Consider the following 22,321-nt stretch of genomic DNA (forward strand, 5'->3'; position numbering starts at 1 on the left):
GAGGGGATGTGAGGGGCTGGAGGGTAGAGGTCTATGTGGTATGCACTGGGGGTATTGCTGGGAAGCAGCAGTGTTTGAGGATGGCTGGAGCTGTGCAGAGCATCTCCTGTGACTTGAGGATGTGCCAGTCATGTCCTTGGTACCACTCGGGATAATTCTTACTCCAAAGACTGTAAACACTAAAAATGAAGTGCCTAATGTACAGTAAGTGCTCAGTATTTGGCTGATTAAATAGCAAATGCTTTCACTGCATGCGATATCCAAAGAACTACTTTGTAAAGTTTTGTATATAAATTAATTAGACCCTCACAACAATCTTATTAAGAGGTACTATTGTCACAACTCCCCATTCTTCAGATAAGGAAATGGGCATAGGGACATTCCTAAGATACTCAGTAGCAAGTGACCAAGCACAATATTCAAACCCGAGCCGGTCGGCACCAAGTTTAAAATTATGCAGTGTAGCCGGGCACGGTGGCTCACGTCTGTACTCTCAGCATTTTGGGAGGCCGAGATGAGTGGATTGCTTGAGTTCAGGAGTTTGTGACCAGTCTGAGCAACATGGCAAAAACCTGTCTCTACAAAAAATACAAAAATTAGCTGGATGTGGTGGTGCGCCTGTAGCCCCAACTACTCAAGAGGCAGAGGTGGGAGGATGGCTTCAGTCCAGGAGGTGAAGGTTGTGGAGATCGCGCCACTGCACTCCAGTCCAAGCAACATAGCGAGACCTTGTCAAAAAAAAAAAAAAATGAATGAATGAAAGAATTATGCAGTGATACTGCCCAGAGGATAGAGTGCACGTGAAATGCTTAACAGTGAAGTCGGTGTTCCTGATGGCCGCGGGTCGGCTGAACCGGACTCCCAGCGCCCGAGAGGAGGCCAGGGGAACTACAATGCCCACAAGGCTCCGCGCCTTCCTCGATGTACTTCCGGCTGGCCTGGGACTCAGGCTGAACATTGGTTCTCTGTGCGGGGCGGTGGCGGGGATTGGAGGGCGGGAGCTGTGCTGACTTAGGATTGGCAAAATCGCTATCAGCCACGCCTCTAAAACCCGGAAGTAACCTCCCCGGTAGTCCCACGTGTAGCGGAGAAACAGTAGTTAGGATGGCTGAAGGGGATACTCACCGGCTGAAGGCCGACTGTGATTCCCCCTACCCCCACAAGGCGATTTTGACCCCCTGAGGGCTGCTCTAGAGGACTCAGGCCCCGAAGCTGTCCCAGGGAGGTCCCCGCTGCATCCCACCACCCAAGCTGTGCCTCATGGAGTCGATGTTTAGCAGCCCTGCCGAGGCGGCGCTGCAGCGAGAGACCGGGGTGCCAGGACTGCTTACTCCTCTTCCGGACCTGGACGGAGTGTACGAGCTGGAGCGAGTCGCTGGATTTGTCCGCGACCTGGGGTGTGAACGAGTGAGGACAGACTTAGGGAAGGGTGGCTCGCCTCTGTCGGGATGGGTCGCCCAGAGGATCCGGATCTTGGGGGATTTTGTGAGGGCGAGAGGGTGGGGGAATCAGTCTGTCCGCAGCGCGTTGACCATCCCTCCCTTCCACCTACTACGTGGGGCAGAGTGCCCCTCTGGGACCAGGGGCTTTGAAGGTTGAGTGGGAGCTCCTGGAAGATTGCTTTAAAGAAGCCCTCAGTGGGAGAGAGGCTGTCCCTGACTCCATGGTTTATGCTTATAGGTTGCCTTGCAGTTCCCTGACCAGCTATTGGGAGATGCTGTGGCTGTGGCTGCACGACTGGAGGAGACGACAGGGTCAAAGATGTTCATTCTGGGTGACACAGCCTACGGCAGGTGTGAACTTGGCCTTAGGTGGGCCAGGCCTGGGGATCCGGGGCTCATGGGGTTTTACGTCTATGACAGTGATTGCCTTCAATGGTGGTGTTTCTCCTTGATGATAATGGTAATGACTCCCCTTCTGATGCTAGCTCCTTTCATTGACAATGTCTTCCTTTAATGAAACCATTTTATTCACTGACCACATTTCCCAGTGATGACAGCAACTCGCCTCCAGAAGAGAACCCATTTCTCTGATGCTATCTTCCCTGCAGCTGCTGCGTGGATGTGCTGGGTGCTGAGCAAGCTGGAGCTCAGGCTCTCATACATTTTGGCCCTGCCTGCTTAAGCCCTCCAGCCCGCCCACTGCCCGTTGCCTTCGTGCTTCGTCAACGTTCTGTGGCCTTGGAGCTCTGTGTCAAGGCCTTTGAGGCCCAGAACCCAGACCCCAAAGCGCCTGTGGTGCTGCTGAGTGAGCCGGCCTGTGCCCATGCCCTGGGTAAGGGGTTTTGCCTGTGTATGCACAAAGGGTGAGCCAACTGCTTTATGCCTTAATTTCCCCATTTCCATATACCATCCATAGAACTCTTGATATGGGCTTGGCCCCAGCCTACTGGGTCATATTTAGTCTCCTGGGGATGAGGGAGCTCCTGCTTTGCCAGGCTCCAACCTCAACACTACCTCCTTCTCTTCCAGAGGCTTTGGCTACTCTCCTGCGCCCACGGTACCTGGACCTGCTAGTCTCCAGCCCAGCTTTTCCCCAACCAGTGGGTTCCCTGAGTCCAGAGCCTATGCCCCTAGAGCGTTTTGGGCGCCGCTTCCCCCTTGCCCCAGGGAGGCGTCTAGAAGAGTATGGTGCCTTCTATGTAGGGGGCTCTAAGGCCAGCCCTGACCCAGACCTTGACCCAGACCTGAGTCGGCTGCTCTTGGGGTGGGCACCAGGTCAACCCTTCTCCTCCTGCTGTCCAGATACAGGGAAGACTCAGGATGAGGGTGCCCGGGCTGGACGGCTAAGGGCACGAAGACGATATCTGGTAGAGAGGGCCAGAGATGCCCGCGTGGTAGGGCTGCTGGCAGGCACACTGGGTGTAGCCCAACACCGTGAGGCACTGGCCCACTTGCGGAACCTGACTCAGGCTGCTGGCAAGCGTAGCTATGTGTTGGCCCTGGGGCGGCCCACCCCTGCCAAGCTTGCCAACTTCCCTGAGGTGGATGTCTTTGTGCTATTAGCCTGTCCTCTGGGTGCTCTAGCCCCCCAGCTTTCTGGTAGCTTCTTCCAGCCTATACTGGCACCATGTGAGCTGGAAGCTGCCTGCAACCCTGCCTGGCCACCTCCAGGCCTGGCTCCCCACCTCACACATTATGCGGACTTATTGCCTGGTGAGTAGTGGGGGCATTGCCTAAGCTGGAAACCTGGGGCACGGAGTCAGGGGGTGAGTATGGATTTTCTTTCCTCCTCCCTTTCAGGCTCTCCCTTCCACGTGGCTCTCCCACCACCTGAGTCAGAGCTGTGGGAAACCCCAGACGTGTCACTCATTACTGGAGATCTCCGACCCCCACCTGCCTGGAAGTCATCAAATGATCATGGAAGCTTGGCTCTGACCCCACGGCCCCAGCTGGAGCTGGCTGAGAGCAGTCCTGCAGGTAAATGTACAAGTCTCCACTCCCAGCTGAGCTTTTTCTCCAGATGCAGCGCACTCAGACTGAGCCCCCTCCCTCTACAGCCTCATTCCTTAGTTCCCGGAGCTGGCAAGGGCTGGAGCCCCGCCTGGGTCAGACGCCAGTGACAGAAGCTGTGAGTGGAAGACGAGGGATTGCCATCGCCTATGAGGATGAGGGAAGCGGCTGATACCATGTGGGGCTGGAGACATAGATGGACTTATGAATGGCTGCTAGGACCTTTAGTGCTCCCTGCACCAACCTCCCATCCCCCTGCCAAGATCCTTGAAGGACCCTGGAAGGAGGGAGAGCAGGCAGCCCTTCACAGGATAGGATCCGTCTCTGTCCTGTCCTGGCACTGGCACAAGCTCAGCACATGCCCAGTAATGCGTGTTGTTTGGCTGATGGAATAAAGGGCTTAGGGACTTCCCTGAGGCCTCTGGACCCATCTGTCTTCCTGAGGGCAGCCCAGGACCTTTGGCCAATCCCAGTTCCCAGGCTGCAGTTGAGGGTCTGTCCTTGTCAAAAGGCAGGTGCTAGACAGTCTAGACCAGGGTTTCTCAAACTCGTACTTGACATTTGGGGCCAGATAATTCTTTGTTGTGGGGCTGTCTGGTGTATGGTAGGGTGCTCAGCAGCATCCCTGGCCTCTGCCCACTAGACATCAGAAGCACTCCCCCAGTTGTGACAACCAAAAATATCTCCAGACCTTGGCAAATGTTATCTGTGGGGGAAAATTGCCCTCAATTGAGAACCACTGGTCTAGCTAGACCTGCACTGTCCAGTACAGTAGCCACTAAATACATGTGGCTAAACTTAAATTTAAGTTAATTAAGATTAAAAGCTCAGTTTCTCAGTCACATTAGTCATTCAAGTGTTCAGACAGCCACATGAGGGGACAGTGCAGCTACAGGATATGCCATCATGGCAGAAAGTTCTATTGGTTGGACAGCGTTGGTCTATACTGACTCTTATTTCTCAGGGAGATCACAGCAACCTAAATAAACCAGATACCTTTTCTCTTTGTGTTTCTTTTTAATTCATGAAATACTGCAGGTCCTGCACTGGTCCTGGGATGTAGATGTTAACTGTATTTAACCAGATTCCTTTCCAGTGTACCTGGAAAGAGAGTTAAATACGCAGTCAGTACACAGTGAAACAGCTCTATCTGGGAGGAGGGAAGCCCCAGGGACAGCTGGATCCCACAGGAGATACCTGACAAGGACTAAGAGGAGGCTTCCCAGAGGGCATAACACCTATGCTGGATCTTTTGGAGGAAAAAATAATTGTCAGGAGAAAAGGAGTGAAAAAGACCTTTGGGCTTAAACATGAACCAACATGGCGGATGCTTCAAGCAAGTGGGGTTGCTGGGCCCTAAAGGTGGAGAGGGGTGAAATGAAAAGACTCGCCTCTTCTTCCCCACATTTGTTGAGAATCTGGTCACAGTGGCATTGTCGAGGGTATTGAAGGTGAACAAAGGAGATGTGGTCCCTGCCCTCAGGGAATGCCTAGTCTAATGGTGGAGGCAGAGCTGTAAGCTAACAAGGTAACCCAGACAAAGTGGGCATCAGTCATGTGTTCTACAAATATGTACTGAGGACACACTCTGTGCCAGGTACTGGAAATACAGCAGTGAGCGACACAAAAGCCATGGTGCTTCCACTCTTCCAGGGGAGTTGGACAAATAAAATACTTAGTATGCCAAATGGTGATCAGTAAGTACCGTGAGAAATGTAAAGCTGGGAAGCAGAGGAGCGTTTAAGTGGGGTGGAATATTAAACAGAATGGTCAGAGAAGGCCTTTTCAAGAAGGTGAGCAAAAACTGAAAGGAAGTTACAGGATGAGCCGCATGTATAGTTAGGAGAAGCAGAGAGAGCAAGTGCAAGGGCAGTGAGGTCGCGGTATGGTTGGCACGTTCAAAGAAATAGCAAGGAGGGCAGTGCAGCCAGAGGAGGGAGTTAGTGGGGGAATATTAGAAGGTGAAGTCAGCTGAGGGGCGTGGGGAGCCTAGCAGGCTATTGTGAGAACTTTGGCTTTTCTCCTGAATGAAATGGGAGCCATCAGGGCATTTCGACAGGGTAGTGACATCTTACTGAAGCTTAATAAGCATCACCAGGACATCGCGGGAGCCCAGCAAACGCGCTTCCCTGCCACTGGGTTAGGGAAGGCTTGCCGGAAGGACGATTTCGGAGGACAGCAGGTGTTAGCCAGGCAGCGGAGCGAGCGCCAACAGGCGCACTGGGGCGGAGAGACGCCGTGAGCAAGGTGAGGCAGAGGGCACGCGCGGCGCCACCCGCCACAGGCTAGGACGCACGGCTGCCAGAGAGGACGCCTTAGGGGCCCGCGAGCAGGCTCGGGAATAAAACAGGGCTGGCAGGGCGAGGTGGAGAGACTCGAGAAGGACCGGCCAGATGTCGAAGTTCCTAGAGAGGAGGGCGCCCAAGCCTCCGCCGAGACGCGTGACTACAACTACCACAATCCCCAGCGCCTGCGGTTCCAGCGTCGCCTTGCTCTAGACGGGCGGCGGCGCTGCGCGGGGAACCGGCGTGGGGTCACGTGGTACCGGCGCATCACGTGGGCGAGTTAGGTGACGCTGCGGGGCGGGCGGACAGACTGCGGGACGGACGGTGGACGCTGGGACGCGTTTGTAGCTCCGGCCCCGCCGTTCCGACCCCCGCCGCCGTCGCCGCCATGACGGGGCTAGCACTGCTCTACTCCGGGGTCTTCGTGGCCTTCTGGGCCTGCGCGCTGGCCGTGGGTGAGGCCGGGTCCTGGCGGGCGGGAGCAGCATCGCGGCCGAGCTGGCCGGGTCGGAACTCGGCGGGGAAGTGGCCTGCGGGGAATACTGGCCCCCCGCGCGCTCTGCACCCGAGGCTCTGGGGACTTGCGCCTGCGAGGGCCTCTGACTCCGACAAAGGAGACCCGGATTTCCAGCTGCTTGAGGAGGGGTGCGGGCGGGTAGGGGCCGCGAGGGCAGCACTCCCCCGTCCTGCCACTATCGCTGTCTCCCCTCGCTCCCACGTCTCACTGCTGTCCCCCCTTTCTTGCTCCTGACCGGCCCGCTCGGTCACAAGCCGGCTGCTCCGGTTCCTCTTTTCCCAGTCGCTTTGCCCTCCCCCACCCACAGCTTGTTGGGTAAACAGCGGAACGGACTGGGCCGGCGGGATCTGGCTGGAGCGCTTGCTCCCTCGGTCCCGCCTCGGATTCGGGCTTGCGGGTGGCGACCCTGCCTGCGCAGGTGCTTGGTCTGGGAGGTGGTTTTAGCGAGGGAATGGCAGAAAATGGAGGCCTAAGCAGAGGAATCTGTCTACACAGCTGTACTGTCACCTGGGGGCAGCCTGAGGACGCCCCTTCAGGGAGGTGGCCCTTCAGCTCGGCAGCTACTTTAGGTTGAAGAACTTCTCTCTACCGAGCAGCCCGTAACCCCCTTTTTCTCCCTCACTGCTGCAGGAGTCTGCTACACCATTTTTGATTTGGGCTTCCGCTTTGATGTGGCATGGTAAGGGAGGGCAGGGGGAGGATTCCCCTTGAAGCTTCTTCCCTGCAGCCTCTCTTCTTTTCTCTGGTCTGAGTCCCTCCCCCACACCACTGCCTGCCTGGGACATGGACCTTTGGGAAATACGCGGTCAGTTGTTGCCTGTAGAACTGGTGGTGGGGTTGAAGGGGGTTTGAGGGGTTAAGATTTTGTGCTCCGCTTCCCTGCTAGAGCTGAACTGCTTTCTTCTCTGCTTCCACAACAGGTTCCTGACGGAGACTTCGCCCTTCATGTGGTCCAACCTGGGCATTGGCCTAGCTATCTCCCTGTCTGTGGTTGGGGCAGCCTGGTGAGTATTGGGGTGGTGGGACTGGGGGCAGGGGCTGAGTCATGGCAGGTGGTGTCACTGGGGTCTTAGGCATGCTGAGGGCAGTGACAGCTTGGGCTCTGCTCATCAGTTTTTTATCCTTCCACCAGGGGCATCTATATTACCGGCTCCTCCATCATTGGTGGAGGAGTGAAGGCCCCCAGGATCAAGACCAAGAACCTGGTCAGGTAAGTGTCAGGGTCCTTGGACTTTTGTCAGAACCAGCTGTGTTGGCGCTGCCTGTGTGTTTGATCTGACATACTGTTTCTGACAAGCCACCTTGTGGGATGGGATGTTATAGGGGAAAGATTGCTGGGGACTTACTGGGCAGGAAGGACGGTTTCTTTCTCATTTCTTTCTCCTTTCCACTCCTTACCCCTAATCTCTACCACTACCAGCATCATCTTCTGTGAGGCTGTGGCCATCTACGGCATCATCATGGCAATTGTCATTAGCAACATGGCTGAGGTATGGAAGGCCAGGGTGGTGGCGGGAATCCATTCCAGTGTGTTCTACACATTCCTTAGAGATTGGATGGGGTGCATCAGGATGGTTTCTGATTACTTTTCTTCTTCCCTCAGCCTTTCAGTGCCACAGACCCCAAGGCCATCGGCCATCGGAACTACCATGCAGGTGGGTGGATGGGCGTATGAATGCAAAATGCTGGGACTTCATGCCTGCTTCCACTCTCCCCCATCCCAGCTTGGGCCATCATTTTGATATTCTCTCACCTACTTTTTCTGCTTTGCAGAGTGGGGATGGTGATTGGCCCCATTAGCCCATATCTCCCCCATTCCTGGCTTAGCCTCACTGCACCCCTCTCTATCCTCCCAGGCTACTCCATGTTTGGGGCTGGCCTCACCGTAGGCCTGTCTAACCTCTTCTGTGGAGTCTGCGTGGGCATCGTGGGCAGTGGGGCTGCCCTGGCCGATGCTCAGAACCCCAGCCTCTTTGTAAAGATTCTCATCGTGGAGATCTTTGGCAGCGCCATTGGCCTCTTTGGGGTCATCGTCGCAATTCTTCAGGTGATGAATCCCCTTGGGAAGCCTCTGTGTCCTTGTCCCCAACCTAGCCTTACCCTCCTTCTGGAGAAGCTGAAGTGCTCTCCTTCTCTACCTATAACTATAGATTCCCCCAAACAGCTTCCACCTCCTCATTTCCATCTTCTGGTTTTCTCCTACAGGGGCTCTCTATTTTTGTCTCTGATTTGGTGTCACTGACAACAGCCCTGTTCTTTTTCCCCCCTTTCTAATGCGTTGTATCTGTATAGCACTTAGTCCTCCCTCTTTCTGTTCTCTCATTTTATCTGCCATGCTTTTCATGTCTCCAGTCTGTATTTGTGATCTAGACTAGAATGGAATTTTGTCTGTCTATATCAGTCTGTCATGGTGTGTTTGACTGTCTCTCGGAGCTATGTGTATCTCCCTCTCACATGCCTGTCAGTAGGACACCATTGTCTAAATTGTGTGTGTCTAGTCTGTCTGACAGTGTGTGAGTTTGTGACTAAGGATCAGCCTGAGGGTCTGAGTGTGACTGTGGGTGCTTGACTGAGTTGATTCTTAGTGACTAGCTTTATCCATATGCCACTTCTCTCCGTCTGTCCCACAGCGTAACTCTGTGGTTGTCTGTCCCTGTCTGCCTTGTCTGTCACAGTGTGTCCATCCTGGTTAGTCATATATCTCTTGTGGTCTGTCCATCCAACCATGTGCTAGATGTCATCTTCTATCATTTGTCACTGCCTTACCTATTCCTCTGTCCCTGCCTGATTTCTCCTGTTCTTTTTTTGCAGACCTCCAGAGTGAAGATGGGTGACTAGATGATATGTGTGGGTGGGGCCGTGCCTCACTTTTATTTATTGCTGGTTTTCCTGGGACAGCTGGAGCTGTGTCCCTTAGCCTTTCAGAGGCTTGGTGTTCAGGGCCCTCCCTGCACTCCCCTCTTGCTGCGTGTTGATTTGGAGGCACTGCAGTCCAGGCCGAGTCCTCAGTGCGGGGAGCAGGCTGCTGCTGCTGACTCTGTGCAGCTGCGCACCTGTGTCCCCCACCTCCACCCTCAACCCATCTTCCTAGTGTTTGTGAAATAAACTTGGTATTTGTCTGGGTCAGTGCAGCTTCTGTTGCCCTCTTGCGTCACCGTTCACAGAGGAAGGGTAAAGAGGCCTGTACGCCTCAGCCTCATGCCAATCCCTTGTCAGCTTTCTGACTGCACACTTCTGATCTGCACAGAGCTTGCTCCTAGGTGGGGAGGCACGGGTGCTGGGTGGACTCTAACCCCCAAACAGACTTGTTTGGGGATGAGGGAGTGTGCAGATAGGGGCCCCTGGGTGTGTTTGTGCCTGTAGTCCTTCTAGGCCCGTTTGCTCAGGGCTCTGACTGACCACCATGCCCGAATTGTCTGACAGCATCTACTTACCTGGTTGTACAGTCGGGCACCATCATCTCCGTCCTTGTGAGGCCTGGAGCCTAGGCAGTGGTCTCTGCCTCCAGTGATGGTCCTGTCCTTCTAGCAGCAGCCCCTCCCAGAAACCTCTACTCTGATCCTTGTTCCCAGGGCCCAGGGCAGCTCCTCCCACCCCATCCAATCTCGTTTTCTCCTTCCCTGACCCTGTTTCCTGTTACCCCAGAAGCCCCAGCCACCTCCAGCCCACGCCTTTAAGGGTCCTGCCCCCTCTCTGCTGGCCGACCTTGAATCTTGGTCCAATTAAAGAGTTGACAAATCCCTAGCCCCGCAGCCTGAGTCCGCCCAACCTCCAGGTCCCCTTCCTGGGGAGTTCGCGCTCCAATGCAATCCCCACTCCCCGCTAAGGGACTCCACGGTCTGCACCCGCTCGCCGGTCCGACCTCTAAGCCCACCCTTTGGACGAGCCTGACCCATTTCCTCCCGCGCTCCCAGGTCCGTGCCTCCTGGGTGCCCGGGTTCGGCCGCCGGCAGGGCGGGCTCGCAGCGGCGCGCGGCGGGTGCGGGCGTGCTGGAGGCGGGGGCCGCGGGGGCGCGCGCGCGGGCGCGCGGGCCGGGCCTGCCCCTCCGAGGCGCCGTAGCGCGGGAGGGAGGCGGCGGCGCTGTGGTCCGTGGGTCCGCCGGTCCGTGGGTCTGCCCGGCCGCCCGGCCCCGCCCTGCCCCCCGGGGCGGCTCGGCTCCATGGCCCGCGGCGGCGGCGGCGGCGGCGGCGGCGGGAGGCGACCCGGGGGCCGCGGTGGCCGCTGACCGGGCGGCGGGAGGCGGCGGGGCCGGGCCATGGGGGACGGAACCGTCCGCAGCCGCCGGAGCCGGGAGCCCTGCCCAAGTCGGAGCGGCGTCCCCTGCTGAGCCCCGAGCGCCGGGTGAGAGGAGGGCGCGCGCGGCCCCCACCCAGGGCCCCGAGATTCCAGACCCAGCCCCGCGAGGGGCACCCCGAGCGCGGCCCCGAGATCCCAACCCAGGAGCCGGTGAGAGAGGCGCCGGCGGCCAGACCCCGGCCTGGCTGCCCCCACCCCGCCCCCACTCCGGCGCCCCTCCTGGGCTTCTCCGCCCGCGTCCAGCCGGCCTCCCTCATTGTCCTCGCTCGCCCCGGCCTCGTGGCGCGGGGAGGCGTTCCATACACGTTTCCCCTTGGCCTTTGCCTCATCCGCTGCCCTCCACCCACTCCCCCTGCCCCCAGGCTCCACACCCACCCGGTCTGTGCGGCCTGCCCGTCCGCGGGTGCCACGTGTTCAGCCTGCCAGCCCCGCCCAAACGCACCCCTCAGCCTGGCCGCCAGCCTGACCCAGAACCCCTGCGCCGGAGGGAGGGTGGGAATGTCTGCACGTGGGTCTGGGTGTGAGCTGTCTGAGAGTCTGGATGTATGGCTGTGGAAGTCCAGGAGCAGTGGCCTTGTTTGTGAGTGTGGGACTTAGTGTGTTACTGTCACCCGGGTGTGTCTGTGACTGTAGTTCTCTGTGTGTCTGAGTGTGGGTGACCAGCTGGGACCAGGGTGTCCCTGTGATTCTGTGTGCCTGTGAGACTCACCCTGCTCCCTGAAGCACTGCCAGAAGTGGCTGCCGCTCTCTTGGAACCACAGCTGGAGCCATCGCCCAGGCAAGACCCCCTTCCTGCCATGCCCAGTGCTGTGCCCATCTCCAGGCCCAAGCATCCCGTTCCGGGAATCAGAACCAGCTGTGCTGGGCAGGACCCAGAGTCTTGGTCCCAGTCCCAAGGGGCTGGCTTTGAGGTCTTAAGTGAGGGGTGTCCCCTGCCTTGCCCCGTATTTTGACGTTTTGCTCCAGTGGGAAGGGATTCTGTAAACATCCAGTCTGTATTTGGGCCCCCCGGATGCTGAGGGCAACTTCCCAGCCTGGTCCCAGTTGGCCTGGCCTGCTTGTCGCTGGGATCTGAATGACCAAACCACTTCCCACCATGGCTCCTGGAAGGACTAAATGAAGTCATGAGTATAAAGTGCTCCTGCATGGTAGGTGCACAGTATTCCGTCTCTTCCCTCTTCCCCAAGCCATGAGTTCTGGGTTAAGGATGCTGCCATGTGAGGTGTCTGTTCTCAGGGGCACAGGGGCACATGGGGGTCTATAGGTAAACATGTCTCCATGCTTAGGTACAAACCAGTGTGGTTAGAGTTCACGTGTCTGTGTTCCTGGGAATGCGTGAGTGTGTGTGTAGAGTTGTGCAATAAGGGTGAGTGCCTGAGTGTGTGTGTCAGTGAGGTGGAGGAAGGTAAATGTATGTGGCTTAGTAGTGGGGTGTGCTTGAGGATGTGAGTACTGAGTTGCCGGGAACTGTGCCTGGGTGTCTGTTTGGAGGTAAATTCTTGAGTCTGTGAGTGTGAAAGGGTATGAGCAGGTCAGTGTGAGGTGTGGCCCACGAGTGTGAGCAGCTGAGTGGGAGGTAGGTGGGCAGCCTTGCCTGTCCTGCCCTGACCTGCTGGATCTGTTTCCCTCCCACCCTGCTCAGGCCAGCAGCCGGATGCCCGGGCCCACTGGGCGGGCCAGTGGCCGCCTGCGGGATGAGCAGACTGCTGGGGGGGACGCTGGAGCGCGTCTGCAAGGCTGTGCTCCTTCTCTGCCTGCTGCACTTCCTCGTGGCCGTCATCCTCTACTTTGACGTCTACGCCCAGCACCTGGCCTTCTTCAGCCGCTTCAGTGCCCGAGGCCCTGCCCATGCCCTCCACCCAGCTGCTAGCAGCAGCAGCAGCAGCAGCAACTGCTCCCGGCCCAACGCCACCGCCTCTAGCTCCGGGCTCCCTGAGGTCCCCAGTGCCCTGCCCGGTCCCACGGCTCCCACGCTGCCACCCTGTCCTGACTCGCCACCTGGTCTTGGTGAGCCTGGAGGGTAGGGCCTGCCTGTGGGGAAACAGGGTTTTATTGGTTTGACTAGAGAAATGGCATCTGGACCCAGGGGTGTGCCAGGGGTCCAGGTCTGTTGTAAGAGGGCTATTCTTGGGGTTCCCTAGCCCACCCCCAGGCTGAGGGTGGGGGCTGGTATCTGTGGATTCTGGCCAATGCCCTGATTCCTGACACTGTCCTGTCTGCAGTGGGCAGACTGCTGATCGAGTTCACCTCACCCATGCCCCTGGAGCGGGTGCAGAGGGAGAACCCAGGCGTGCTCATGGGCGGCCGATACACACCGCCCGACTGCACCCCAGCCCAGACGGTGGCGGTCATCATCCCCTTTAGACACCGGGAACACCACCTGCGCTACTGGCTCCACTATCTACACCCCATCTTGAGGCGGCAGCGGCTGCGCTACGGCGTCTATGTCATCAACCAGGTGCCCATGCGGGGGTCCATGTGCCTGTTGGTGTATATATGTGGGTTGGGGGCGTTTGTGGGTCCTTGTCTGCCCGTGTGGATATGTGGATGGACCTGGGCGTGGGTAGTCGGTGTTTGTCAGTGTGCACAGGAATGTGTACGCACAGTGTGTGCATGTGAATGTTGGCATGCACACTGGCAGGTGTGTGCATGGTCTCAGAAGGGGTTGAGCCCCACTCTCTACCCTTGGCAGGCCTCACCCCATGGTGGTGCAGGCCTTGGGTATGCTGTAGGAGGAGATGTTGAGGGCCCTGAGGAGAGGGAGTTAGACCCTGAAAGAAGGATGAAGCCTGTAGAACCCTTTGGGGTAGGTGCCAGCCACAGCTGAGGCCAGGGCACTCAGCTCAGCATCTTAAGGCCTTTGGTGGACCTGGCTAGGGCTGGCCACTAGGTCCCAGAAGGGACCTCTGATGCAGGCCCCCCCGCCCCCGCCGACCACAGAGACCTCCTAGACTTGGACATGGGTCCCTCCCGTATGATGGGACACAAGTGGAGGTGGAGCAGGGGGCCGTGGGAGCACAGAGGGCCCCAGTCCAGCCCTGGGGTTGGGAAGCAGTTGCTGAGATGGGTCTTGCGGGATGAGCAGGCATCAGGGGCTGCAGAAGCCAGCATTCTAGGCAGAGGGACCTGGAGGATGCAGGGCCAGCAAGATAACTGGCCTCGTGTTCACGAACTATTGGCTGAGGTGTGGTGTCCAGCATGTGGACTGGGTAGCAAAGATGAGGCTGGAGGAGTTGGAAGTCAAACTGAGAAATGTCTTGGGAGGCATGCTGGCAGTAAGTCCAGCGCAAAAGTGACAGGGCACCATGTAAGGTTGTAAGGAGAGAGTGACTTGCGTGTTTGCTTTGTAGAAAGGTCACTCTGGTTGCATATGGAGCATGGATGGAGAGGGGAGATTAGAGACAGCGTGGCCCGTTTGGAAGAGAGGACGATGCCCAGGAAAGAGGCGGTGACCCTGCGGATGTGTGGGGCGGGAGTCGCGGGGAAGAAGTGGGGTTGTTACGCAAGTAGTGGAGAGTGAGAAAAGAGCGACGTCAGGACAGCGCAAGGGTTTCCGCCTTGGCTGTTGGCTGTGGGGATGGCTGTGTCTGAGTGAGATGGGGACACAGGAGCTGGGCCAGCTCTGGGGGAGTGTGACTCTGAATCCTTTCTTGCGTGTGATGAGTTTGAGCGCCTGTGGGAAGTACATGTTTAGCAGGCAGTTAGACAAATGAGTCTGGACCCAGAAGGGAGGTCTGCAGTGGAGAGAGGGATCTGGGAGCACCAGGATGAAGACGGTCTGGTCCCTAAAACCAACAACGTCTGACCTGCCAGGGAGCAAGGGGCATGAGAGGAGGAAGCCAGCACTTCAGGGATGGAGGGAGAAAGAGGCCGCTACAGAGGCCGAGAGGCTTGGCCAGAAGGGCTGGAGGAGACCCAGGGGAGTGTGGGATCCCGGAAACCCGGCAGTCAGTGTCAGGAAGGAGACATGGCAGCTGCATGGGCACTGTGGGGGTGTGAGGAGGGATGTGGACCAAGACTCGTCCAGTGGATTTAGCAACAAGGTGGGCCCAGCGAGAGCCATTTCAGGGGCATGGTGGGGGCGGAAGCAGATTGCAGTGGGTTGAAGAAGGAATCGGATTTGACGAAATGGAAATAACCAATTAGAGACAACTCTTTAAAAAAAAATCCCTGCTGAGAAGGGAAGGCAAAAGGTAGGGTGGTGGCTGGAGGGAGGTTTGTTTTTTCAGTTGGGAGAGGATTGAGCATGTTTATGAGCCATGTGGGAGAGACACAGGGCTCCTGGCTGGTGAGAGGTCAGAAGGAGTGCTGCTGAGCTGGGAGGAAAGCGATGGTCTCTCCAAGGGCTGGGGGAAGAGGAGGTGCAGGAGAGGGAGAGAAGAGAGCTGGCAGGGCTGGGCAGGTCAGGGTTCCCGAGGGGAGCAGCTCCCACCTCTTCTGGCAGTGGCTTTGCTGGTGGAGAAGAGGGCCTTTCTCTCCGCTCATTCCAGAAAGGCCACTCACCGATCCCCTCTCCAGGAACCTTTCTGGTTCTAGCCTGGAGACTGCAGGTTGGGGCAGGGGCTCAGGGGTCAGCGCCTCCCACTGAATGCTCCCTGCTAGTCCTAGTCCAGAGTCTGGTGCTTAGGCCTACATGGCCAGGACCCCTGCAGCCCCAATTCTCAGGGGACCCCAGGCTTGCTGGGCTGTGACTGCCTATAGACCCTATGCTTGTCATTTTGTTGGAGAGACAAGTGAATCTAGCCCAGACCTGTCCTGGTCTCAGAGGCTGCCCAGGCAGCCGGATGCAGCTCCAGGGAGCCTGAGGCTCCTGCATCTTAGACACTGGTCATTTGGGGCATTCGTTGTTTGTCTCACTGCATGACTCTATACACAGCAGGGAGGGGACCAGGGCTGGCCATCTCCAGAATCCCCGCTAGCACAAAGGAGAGAGCGCCACAGGGCATGTTTGAATGAGTGAATGAGATGAGAACTCCACCTGACGTTGTCAATGGGTATTGGCATAAAGGAAGCCCATGGGAAGGAAGGAATAAGCGTACTGGGGTGGGGAAGTGTGGTCAGGGGAGCCGCTCCAGCCCTGAGTGTGACAAGCACAGGTACTGCTAACCCCAAGGCCTGGAGGCAAGGAAGAGTCTGGCATATTCCGGGGCTGCTGAGGGATGTTGTGTGGCTGGGCCTCGGGACCTGAGGGCAGTGGCCAGAGAGGAGGCTGGAGCCACATATGAAAGGCCTTTGTAGGCCAGATCCCGGTCGAGAAGCTGGACTAGATCCTGAGAGCCTGGAGGAGCCATGCAGCGAGGGGGCTGGTAGATCCCCAGAGACTGCTCTGGAGAGTGGCAAAAGGGCAGGTGCTTGTTGGTCACAGGCCCAGGGTTGACCTGCTCCTCCCCCTACCCAGCATGGTGAGGACACCTTCAACCGGGCCAAGCTGCTTAACGTGGGCTTCCTAGAGGCGCTGAAGGAGGATGCCGCCTATGACTGCTTCATCTTCAGCGATGTGGACCTGGTCCCCATGGATGACCGCAACCTATACCGCTGCGGCGACCAACCCCGCCACTTTGCCATTGCCATGGACAAGTTTGGCTTCCGGTGAGGGCTCTCTTCTCAGCTGGACCCAGCCCTCCTGCCCCCACCAGACGCAGGCCCACTTCCAGCCCCCGAGCCCCGCTTGCTCCTGGCTGTGGCCCAGACCCCACTGGCGAGGCTGGATCCTCCCTGGACCCCATTGGACATTCCCCCCGACCTGGTCTCTGGTCCTTCCCCTGGAGTCCCCTTGGGACCCTTACTGACACCTGCCTTCCCATGCCACAGGCTTCCCTATGCTGGCTACTTTGGAGGTGTGTCAGGCCTGAGTAAGGCTCAGTTTCTGAGAATCAATGGCTTCCCCAATGAGTACTGGGGCTGGGGTGGCGAGGATGATGACATCTTCAACCGGTGAGTAAGCACGCGGTGGGGAATAGGCTGGGTGGGGGGGGGAGGGGGGGTGCAGACTGGGTGGGGTTCTTTGCCCTTCCTGGAGCCTGTTCCAGTCTGTCCGTCCCCATCCTCAGGATCTCCCTGACTGGGATGAAGATCTCACGCCCAGACATCCGAATCGGCCGCTACCGCATGATCAAGCACGACCGCGACAAGCATAACGAACCTAACCCTCAGAGGTGACCCCAGCACCCTCACCCCTTACTCCCCAGAGGCAACTTCCCAATATCCCCAACTCTTGACCCCAAGTGGCCCAATCCCTGATCCCCCAGTGGGGGACCTCCAAGCATCCTTGACTCCAAAAAGGTGACTCCCAGTGCCACTGATTCCCTGATGTGATCCAAGGCCCCTCAGGACTGCTGGCACCCCTGATCGTTGTCCCCCAACCCCCAGCCCAGCCTCAGCCCAATATCTCTGACCTCTGGCCTGATTCCTAGAGGTGACCAGAATTTAATGTCAGGGCCTAAATAGTCATTGAGTAGATTGCATTCCTATTGGTGCCCTCGAAGACCTCACTTGTGCACCTGTGGGACCCCTGCCGGGGCAGATAGGACACGAGCTAATGGGTGCTGGGCACAGCTCCTGTGGACCTGACAAAGGGGACCTGAGCAGTATGGGAAGGGGGTGTGGAAAGACAGTGCCCACCCCTCTGAAATTGAAGGAGGTGGATGTATCTCTTAGGAGGTAGCCACATTTGGTATCAGGCTGGCTGGGAGAAGGGCCTAAAGGGTGTGTGAAATGTAAACAAGGGCTTCCTGACACTGCTCTGACTTGTGCTAAACTTTCTGGGGGTGGGAGACCCAGAGTAGTCACACCCAATCCGTGCTTTCCCTTACGAAGTTCATTCCAGGCAGGGAGATAGTCATGGAAAAAGGCAGTTATAGCACAAGGTCATCAAGGCAAGGTGTTGTCTTGGCAGAAGAGGGACTGGTGATGGAAGCCTTCCTGGAGGAGGTGATGGTAACCTGGAGTTTGAAATAGTTACTCATTTAACAAATATTTGCCTCACACCTACCTTGGGCACAGTGCTACATTCCCCAGGCTAATAGAGGAAGCCAGCCTGGATAAGGAGAATCATATCTGGAAGATTCTGGAATGTGAACATGTATGATACATACCGAGAGTCTGAAACTATTTGGTTTTAAGATCTCTGAAGGCTGATAGTGACAGTGGGGCGGGGGAAAGTCACGTCTGGATGTTAGGGGTTTTTCTTCTGTTGCCCTTTCACCATGTACATGTCAGGGGTCTTGAATACCTGATGGGAGGTTAACTTTTGTCCCAGAGGACTGGGGAGTCATGGAAGAACCTGAAGAAGGGAGAGGCGGGGTGGGGTTTGTGTTTAGAAGGCACACTGTTTGAGCTTCAGGAAGGCGAAAGCCTGGCATAGCCGCTGGGTGGAGCAGGAGAGAAAGTCAGCCCGGCCTGAAGGAATCGATGGAGTCCAAGGGAGCATAGTGGTACAGGGCCTGGGGATGGAGGTGCTGTGTCCCCAGCTTGAGCAGGAGGGTTTTTCTACTCTGAACACGGGGTAGGAGTGGGGGAGGTGGTTTGTAGCCCTGGTGTGGGGTTGGTGCCTGGGAGAAGCATGAGGCACTGGGGAGGCACAGGGAGCTGATGAAAAAGTGGTTCTGATGAAAACTATGGTCAGCAGGAAACAGGTAAGAGACCAAGAGGAGAGGGGCTTCAGGGCATCTGGGGAGGAGTGGAGCTCCACAGTACACGCCAGGAGCCTTGGTCCTGTTTCAGGAGTAGCCTGCCTGAGTGCCACCATCAATTACACATGTCTGGCTTGGTTGTAGATGTGGCAAGATAGCAAGAAGTTTCTGGCTTAAAGAACTCTGTGAATGTTGGATTCATGGATTGGGTATGACTACTCTGGGTCTGCCACCCCCAGAAAGTTTAGCACAAGTCACAGAGCAGCGTCAGGAAGCCCTTGTTTACATTTCACACACCCTTTAGGCCCTTCTCCCAGCCAGCCTGATACCAGATTCACAGAGTTCACAAACTGTGAACTCTCTCTACCTAGTTGCTGTTGCCTAAAATCTGGGAGTTCTGGATTCTTCTTTTCCTCACCCTACATATCCAAACCCATCAGCGAGTAATATCACTGCCACCCCTAAAACATATTTGAGTCCATTTGCTTTCCCCCTTTACTACCTTTACCTTAGTCCAACCTCTGGGATCCTGCCTGGACTACTGCAGTGGCCTCCAACTGGTTTCCCTGTTTATGGCTTGGCCCCCAACTGGGTTAAACATTTCTCAGAGCCTTTACACATTTCATTCTGTGAGAATGAAAACATGAGCTGCTCGCTCTGACTTAGAGCCCTGCCCTTGCACGGTGTACTTGAACCTCCAAGCTAATATTCTGCTTTTCCACGTGCCCCATTCAGGTTTAGCCACTCAGCTGTGCAAAATCTTATTCCCAATTTAGGGTCACCATGTGCTCTGACCTCTACCTGGAGTGCTTTGCCCCTGCCCTTAGCTCAGTGTCACATATGCCCTCTTGTCTCTCTTAGCACTCCGATGTTTTCTCTGTTACCTGCCTCCCCTAGAGAAGCCAACTTGCCCTGAGATGAAGGACCCCACCTGTCATGGCCATGGCAGTAGCCTTGGTGCTTAGAGCACAGCCTGGCACATGGTGGTGCTCAATAAATAGCTGGCAAGAGAGTCACTAAAGAACGAGGAACAGAGAAAATGGCACAGGCGTGGGGAGTAAAAATGATGCATCTGATTGCGCTTGAAGTGCCTGTGGGATGCCTGGTCTCAGGCTTAGAAAGGTCTGAGCTGACCTCACACCGTGGCTCATGTCTGTAATCCCAGCACTTTGGGAGACTGAGGCAGGCAGATCACTTGAGGTTAGGAGCTCGAGACCAGCCTGGCCGACATAGTGAAACCTTGTCTCTACCAAAAATACAAAAAAAAAAAAAAAAAAAGACGGGGCACGGTGGCTCATGCCTGTAATCCCTGCACTTTGGGAGGCCAATGTGGGCAGATCACCTGAGGTCAGTAGTTCGAGACCAGCCTGGCCAAAATGGTGAACCCCATCTCTACTAAAAATACCAAAAAAATTAGCTGGGTGTGGTGGTGGGCGCCTGTAATCCCACCTACTCGGGAGGCTGAGGCAGGAGGTTGGGAGGCAACCTCTTGAACCCAGGAGGCAGAGGTTGCAGTGAGCTGAGACTGCACTACTGTACTCCATCCTGGGCAACAGAGCAAGACTCTCAAAAAAGAGAGCGTCTCAAAAAACCAAAACAAAAAGCCGGACGTGGTGGTGTGCACCTGTAGTCTCAGCTACTCAGGAGGCTAAGGCAGGAGAATCGCTTGAACCCAGGAGGCAGAGGTTGCAGTGAGCCGAGACCGCGCCACTATATTCCAGCCTAGGCAACAGAGCAAGACTCTGTCTCAAAAAAAAAAAAAAAAAAAAAGTCTGAGCTGAGAGATTTGTGAGGGTGTCAGACGTCTGTTTTCTGACTGGAGCAGCTGACATCTCTGTTTTGAGGGCCAATGCAGGAGCAGAAGGGCTCCTGCCAAATCAACCCTGGAAGGAGCCAGATTGGCTTAAGCCTAGGCCCCAGAGATCCCATATTGGGTTTGGTGGTGTTAACTTAAAAATCACTAGATCAGCTGGATGAGGTGGCTCATGCCTATAATCCCAGCACTTTGGGTAGTCAAGGCGGGTGGATCACCTGAGGTTAGGAGTTCGAGACCAGCCTGACCAACATGGTGAAACCCCATCTCTACTAAAAATACAAAAATCAGCTGGCGCAGTGGCAGGCATCTGTAATCCCAGCTACTCAGAAGGCTGAGGCAGGAGAATCGCTTGAACCTGGGAAGTGGAGGGTGCAGTGAGCCGAGGTGGTGCCATTGTACTCTGTCTCAAAAAAAAAAAAAAAAAAATCACTAGATCAATAAATTTGAAAAGGAGACTTTATTTCTCTTTTATAAAGGGTTACAACCTGCAGGCTGGCCATCCCACTGGCTAGGAAGCAGAGCCTCCAGCCAAAGCCTTAACAGGCACTTTGAGGGAGGGAGGAGTGAGATAGGAATTTTAGTTGAATGGATTGGTCAACAGGTTACTGGAGGAGCTATGAATATTTACGGAGGGGGTCCTGACATATGCATATCGAACAAACATGCATGTTATATACCATCCATGTTCACCTTGGGGTGGAGACTTAATATTTAAATATATCGCAGTTAGGCCCCATACGTCAAAAAGACAAAAGCACTCAAGTGCGCAGCCTCTGTAAGCTGGCTAGAACCAGTCCATGGCCGATGGTCTTATCAGGAGAAAGTTACTGAGATCAGTCTCTTGTCCCACCAAAGCTATAATTATGGCTTGTGGAACAGGGGCGTAGGGGTCAGCATCTGGCAGTGGGTGAGCTGCAAATTTTTTTCTATTATTTATATTACCACATTATACAAATTGTTTTAATATTGGTTATCTCAAGTCCTGTACTTGTTTAGCTGCTACAGAAAAAGAAAATCCTCGCGGCAGTTAGAGCATAGTCTCTTCTTTAAGTGCAGAGGTGCAAGACTTAACCCTTGCCTGGCATGGCCTTAGATCCTATTTATAATTAGGTATCTTATTGACACAAACAATGCATTCTGTCAGTCTTGTGATCTCTGCTTTGACGTTAATGCTGGTCATTTGTTGTGTCTAAGCTGCAAAAGGGCGTGGGCATAACATGGCATGTTTGACGTCCCTTCCCATCATAGCTGGAAACCCTGTTTTTAAGGTTCCCTGGGGTCCCCTTGGCCAAAAGGGGGTCCATTTAGTTGGTTGGGGGGTGTAGGATTTTATTTTTAGTTTACAGTTGTTAGCCCTGATGTGGACCATTTCCATCCTATCTAGGTTTACCAAGATTCAAAACACGAAGCTGACCATGAAGCGGGACGGCATTGGGTCAGTGCGGTACCAGGTCTTGGAGGTGTCTCGGCAACCACTCTTCACCAATATCACAGTGGACATTGGGCGGCCTCCGTCGTGGCCCCCTCGGGGCTGACACTAATGGACAGAGGCTCTCGGTGCCGAAGATTGCCTGCCAGAGGACTGACCACAGCCTGGCTGGCAGCTGCTCTGTGGAGGACCTCCAGGACTGAGACTGGGCTCTGTTTTCCAAGGGTCTTCACTAGGCCCCCTAGCTACACCTGGAAGTTTCAGAACCCACTTTGGGGGGCCTCCTGCCTGGGCAGGCTCTTCAAGTGTGGCCCTCTTTGGAGTCAACCCTCCTTCCCGACCCCCTCCCCCTAGCCCAGCCCCAGTCACTGTCAGGGTCGGGCCAGCCCCTGCACTGCCTCGCAGAGTGGCCTGGGCTAGGTCACTCCACCTCTCTGTGCCTCAGTTTCCCCCCCTTGAGTCCCCTAGGGCCTGGAAGGGTGGGAGGTATGTCTAGGGGGCAGTGTCTCTTCCAGGGGGAATTCTCAGCTCTTGGGAACCCCCTTGCTCCCAGGGGAGGGGAAACCTTTTTCATTCAACATTGTAGGGGGCAAGCTTTGGTGCGCCCCCTGCTGAGGAGCAGCCCCAGGAGGGGACCAGAGGGGATGCTGTGTCGCTGCCTGGGATCTTGGGGTTGGCCTTTGCATGGGAGGCAGGTGGGGCTTGGATCAGTAAGTCTGGTTCCCGCCTCCCTGTCTGAGAGAGGAGGCAGGAGCCCCAGGGCCGGCTTGTGTTTGTACATTGCACAGAAACTTGTGTGGGTGCTTTAGTAAAAAACGTGAATGGAGCAGCTCCCTTGTCTGTTTGGGGGTGGGGGTCGGGTCCCTGAACGTGGTTACCCTGAGTGTGTTGTGG

At 56.0% G+C, this 22,321-nt stretch overlaps 3 protein-coding genes and 1 long non-coding RNA gene across 22 annotated transcripts, besides 17 other annotated features; 3 read left to right on the forward strand and 1 right to left on the reverse strand.

Moving 5' to 3' along the window:
- DPH2 (diphthamide biosynthesis 2) lies at positions 1,095–4,454 on the forward strand. Of its 11 annotated transcripts, none has more exons than NM_001319170.2 (6): positions 1,095–1,407; positions 1,681–1,793; positions 1,991–2,274; positions 2,472–3,155; positions 3,243–3,419; positions 3,500–4,454. In NM_001319170.2, the coding sequence occupies exons 4-6, from the start codon at positions 2,567–2,569 to the stop codon at positions 3,622–3,624; spliced, it is 891 nt and encodes a 296-aa protein (NP_001306099.1). In that variant the 5' UTR covers positions 1,095–1,407; positions 1,681–1,793; positions 1,991–2,274; positions 2,472–2,566; the 3' UTR covers positions 3,625–4,454. The 11 variants fall into 11 exon arrangements, with proteins under 11 accessions (NP_001306099.1, NP_001306100.1, NP_001375.2 ...); NM_001319171.2 differs by having other exon boundaries at positions 2,051–2,305; NM_001384.5 differs by having other exon boundaries at positions 2,051–2,274.
- Positions 1,126–1,405: an enhancer, noted in NCBI's record as "active region_928". NCBI's record gives its function as "activates an Ori minimal core promoter by ATAC-STARR-seq in GM12878 lymphoblastoid cells {active_cell/tissue: GM12878}" and the evidence as "EXISTENCE:reporter gene assay evidence [ECO:0000049][PMID:35858748]".
- Positions 1,891–2,437: an enhancer, noted in NCBI's record as "H3K4me1 hESC enhancer chr1:44436478-44437024 (GRCh37/hg19 assembly coordinates)". NCBI's record gives its function as "activates a minimal SCP1, AML or CMV promoter by ChIP-STARR-seq in primed H9 embryonic stem cells {active_cell/tissue: H9 hESC(primed)}" and the evidence as "EXISTENCE:reporter gene assay evidence [ECO:0000049][PMID:30033119]".
- Positions 2,438–2,982: an enhancer, noted in NCBI's record as "H3K4me1 hESC enhancer chr1:44437025-44437569 (GRCh37/hg19 assembly coordinates)". NCBI's record gives its function as "activates a minimal SCP1, AML or CMV promoter by ChIP-STARR-seq in primed H9 embryonic stem cells {active_cell/tissue: H9 hESC(primed)}" and the evidence as "EXISTENCE:reporter gene assay evidence [ECO:0000049][PMID:30033119]".
- Positions 2,438–3,967: a biological region, named in NCBI's record as "CDK7 strongly-dependent group 2 enhancer GRCh37_chr1:44437355-44438554".
- Positions 2,768–3,967: an enhancer, noted in NCBI's record as "CDK7 strongly-dependent group 2 enhancer chr1:44437355-44438554 (GRCh37/hg19 assembly coordinates)". NCBI's record gives its function as "activates an origin of replication core promoter dependent on BRD2, BRD4, P300/CBP, MED14 and CDK7 cofactors, with strong dependence on CDK7, by STARR-seq in HCT116 cells {active_cell/tissue: HCT116}" and the evidence as "EXISTENCE:reporter gene assay evidence [ECO:0000049][PMID:35650434]".
- Positions 4,450–5,950, reverse strand: LOC124904167 (uncharacterized). Of its 2 annotated transcripts, none has more exons than XR_007066052.1 (2): positions 5,528–5,950; positions 4,450–4,553 (listed from the first exon to the last, which is right to left on the reverse strand). It is a non-coding gene; the product is annotated as an uncharacterized LOC124904167 (long non-coding RNA). The 2 variants fall into 2 exon arrangements; XR_007066053.1 differs by having other exon boundaries at positions 4,450–4,972.
- Positions 5,198–6,031: an enhancer, noted in NCBI's record as "H3K27ac hESC enhancer chr1:44439785-44440618 (GRCh37/hg19 assembly coordinates)". NCBI's record gives its function as "activates a minimal SCP1, AML or CMV promoter by ChIP-STARR-seq in naive and primed H9 embryonic stem cells {active_cell/tissue: H9 hESC(naive and primed)}" and the evidence as "EXISTENCE:reporter gene assay evidence [ECO:0000049][PMID:30033119]".
- Positions 5,614–5,733: an enhancer, noted in NCBI's record as "active region_929". NCBI's record gives its function as "activates an Ori minimal core promoter by ATAC-STARR-seq in GM12878 lymphoblastoid cells {active_cell/tissue: GM12878}" and the evidence as "EXISTENCE:reporter gene assay evidence [ECO:0000049][PMID:35858748]".
- Positions 5,784–5,833: an enhancer, noted in NCBI's record as "active region_930". NCBI's record gives its function as "activates an Ori minimal core promoter by ATAC-STARR-seq in GM12878 lymphoblastoid cells {active_cell/tissue: GM12878}" and the evidence as "EXISTENCE:reporter gene assay evidence [ECO:0000049][PMID:35858748]".
- Positions 6,032–6,864: an enhancer, noted in NCBI's record as "H3K27ac hESC enhancer chr1:44440619-44441451 (GRCh37/hg19 assembly coordinates)". NCBI's record gives its function as "activates a minimal SCP1, AML or CMV promoter by ChIP-STARR-seq in naive H9 embryonic stem cells {active_cell/tissue: H9 hESC(naive)}" and the evidence as "EXISTENCE:reporter gene assay evidence [ECO:0000049][PMID:30033119]".
- ATP6V0B (ATPase H+ transporting V0 subunit b) lies at positions 6,045–9,380 on the forward strand. Of its 4 annotated transcripts, NM_004047.5 has the most exons (8): positions 6,045–6,192; positions 6,885–6,933; positions 7,175–7,258; positions 7,387–7,464; positions 7,675–7,744; positions 7,858–7,909; positions 8,111–8,301; positions 9,066–9,380. In NM_004047.5, the coding sequence occupies exons 1-8, from the start codon at positions 6,126–6,128 to the stop codon at positions 9,090–9,092; spliced, it is 618 nt and encodes a 205-aa protein (NP_004038.1). In that variant the 5' UTR covers positions 6,045–6,125; the 3' UTR covers positions 9,093–9,380. The 4 variants fall into 4 exon arrangements, with proteins under 4 accessions (NP_004038.1, NP_001281262.1, NP_001034546.1 ...); NM_001294333.2 differs by having other exon boundaries at positions 8,111–9,380; NM_001039457.3 differs by lacking the exon at positions 6,885–6,933.
- Positions 6,084–6,133: a silencer, noted in NCBI's record as "silent region_797". NCBI's record gives its function as "represses an Ori minimal core promoter by ATAC-STARR-seq in GM12878 lymphoblastoid cells {active_cell/tissue: GM12878}" and the evidence as "EXISTENCE:reporter gene assay evidence [ECO:0000049][PMID:35858748]".
- Positions 6,534–6,583: a silencer, noted in NCBI's record as "silent region_798". NCBI's record gives its function as "represses an Ori minimal core promoter by ATAC-STARR-seq in GM12878 lymphoblastoid cells {active_cell/tissue: GM12878}" and the evidence as "EXISTENCE:reporter gene assay evidence [ECO:0000049][PMID:35858748]".
- Positions 8,997–9,588: an enhancer, noted in NCBI's record as "H3K4me1 hESC enhancer chr1:44443584-44444175 (GRCh37/hg19 assembly coordinates)". NCBI's record gives its function as "activates a minimal SCP1, AML or CMV promoter by ChIP-STARR-seq in primed H9 embryonic stem cells {active_cell/tissue: H9 hESC(primed)}" and the evidence as "EXISTENCE:reporter gene assay evidence [ECO:0000049][PMID:30033119]".
- Positions 9,589–10,179: an enhancer, noted in NCBI's record as "H3K27ac-H3K4me1 hESC enhancer chr1:44444176-44444766 (GRCh37/hg19 assembly coordinates)". NCBI's record gives its function as "activates a minimal SCP1, AML or CMV promoter by ChIP-STARR-seq in primed H9 embryonic stem cells {active_cell/tissue: H9 hESC(primed)}" and the evidence as "EXISTENCE:reporter gene assay evidence [ECO:0000049][PMID:30033119]".
- Positions 10,180–10,771: an enhancer, noted in NCBI's record as "H3K27ac hESC enhancer chr1:44444767-44445358 (GRCh37/hg19 assembly coordinates)". NCBI's record gives its function as "activates a minimal SCP1, AML or CMV promoter by ChIP-STARR-seq in primed H9 embryonic stem cells {active_cell/tissue: H9 hESC(primed)}" and the evidence as "EXISTENCE:reporter gene assay evidence [ECO:0000049][PMID:30033119]".
- Positions 10,189–10,288: a silencer, noted in NCBI's record as "silent region_799". NCBI's record gives its function as "represses an Ori minimal core promoter by ATAC-STARR-seq in GM12878 lymphoblastoid cells {active_cell/tissue: GM12878}" and the evidence as "EXISTENCE:reporter gene assay evidence [ECO:0000049][PMID:35858748]".
- Positions 10,295–22,256, forward strand: B4GALT2 (beta-1,4-galactosyltransferase 2). 5 transcript variants are annotated; one of them, XM_017002717.2, is made up of 7 exons: positions 10,295–10,596; positions 12,199–12,558; positions 12,774–13,009; positions 15,950–16,140; positions 16,363–16,485; positions 16,602–16,706; positions 21,383–22,256. In XM_017002717.2, exons 2-7 carry the CDS (start codon positions 12,246–12,248, stop codon positions 21,531–21,533), a joined length of 1,119 nt encoding a protein of 372 aa, XP_016858206.1. In that variant the 5' UTR covers positions 10,295–10,596; positions 12,199–12,245; the 3' UTR covers positions 21,534–22,256. The 5 variants fall into 5 exon arrangements, with proteins under 5 accessions (XP_016858206.1, NP_003771.1, XP_016858205.1 ...); NM_003780.5 differs by having other exon boundaries at positions 12,194–12,558; positions 21,383–22,253; XM_017002716.1 differs by lacking the exon at positions 10,295–10,596 and adding an exon at positions 10,634–10,701 and having other exon boundaries at positions 12,194–12,558.
- Positions 10,559–10,668: a silencer, noted in NCBI's record as "silent region_800". NCBI's record gives its function as "represses an Ori minimal core promoter by ATAC-STARR-seq in GM12878 lymphoblastoid cells {active_cell/tissue: GM12878}" and the evidence as "EXISTENCE:reporter gene assay evidence [ECO:0000049][PMID:35858748]".
- Positions 13,136–13,725: an enhancer, noted in NCBI's record as "H3K4me1 hESC enhancer chr1:44447723-44448312 (GRCh37/hg19 assembly coordinates)". NCBI's record gives its function as "activates a minimal SCP1, AML or CMV promoter by ChIP-STARR-seq in naive H9 embryonic stem cells {active_cell/tissue: H9 hESC(naive)}" and the evidence as "EXISTENCE:reporter gene assay evidence [ECO:0000049][PMID:30033119]".
- Positions 22,257–22,321: the final 65 nt, after the last annotated feature.

Source organism: Homo sapiens, chromosome 1, assembly GCF_000001405.40.
Source record: "Homo sapiens chromosome 1, GRCh38.p14 Primary Assembly".
Taxonomy (NCBI): Eukaryota; Metazoa; Chordata; class Mammalia; order Primates; family Hominidae; genus Homo; species Homo sapiens.

Bases quoted from the DNA above. Each gene is read 5' to 3' on its own strand.
- DPH2 (NM_001384.5), top strand. From the start codon at position 1,261: ATGGAGTCGATGTTTAGCAGCCCTGCCGAGGCGGCGCTGCAGCGAGAG. The intron at 1,408-1,680 runs GTGAGGACAGAC...TTATGCTTATAG, and splicing joins GCGACCTGGGGTGTGAACGA to GTTGCCTTGCAGTTCCCTGA. The intron at 3,156-3,242 runs GTGAGTAGTGGG...CCTCCCTTTCAG, and splicing joins TTATGCGGACTTATTGCCTG to GCTCTCCCTTCCACGTGGCT.
- ATP6V0B (NM_001294333.2), top strand. From the start codon at position 6,126: ATGACGGGGCTAGCACTGCTCTACTCCGGGGTCTTCGTGGCCTTCTGG. The intron at 7,259-7,386 runs GTGAGTATTGGG...TCCTTCCACCAG, and splicing joins TCTGTGGTTGGGGCAGCCTG to GGGCATCTATATTACCGGCT. The intron at 7,910-8,110 runs GTGGGTGGATGG...CTATCCTCCCAG, and splicing joins CCATCGGAACTACCATGCAG to GCTACTCCATGTTTGGGGCT.
- B4GALT2 (NM_030587.3), top strand. From the start codon at position 11,097: ATGGCTGTGGAAGTCCAGGAGCAGTGGCCTTGTTT. The intron at 12,559-12,773 runs GTGAGCCTGGAG...TCCTGTCTGCAG, and splicing joins TGACTCGCCACCTGGTCTTG to TGGGCAGACTGCTGATCGAG. The intron at 16,707-21,382 runs GTGACCCCAGCA...CATCCTATCTAG, and splicing joins AACGAACCTAACCCTCAGAG to GTTTACCAAGATTCAAAACA.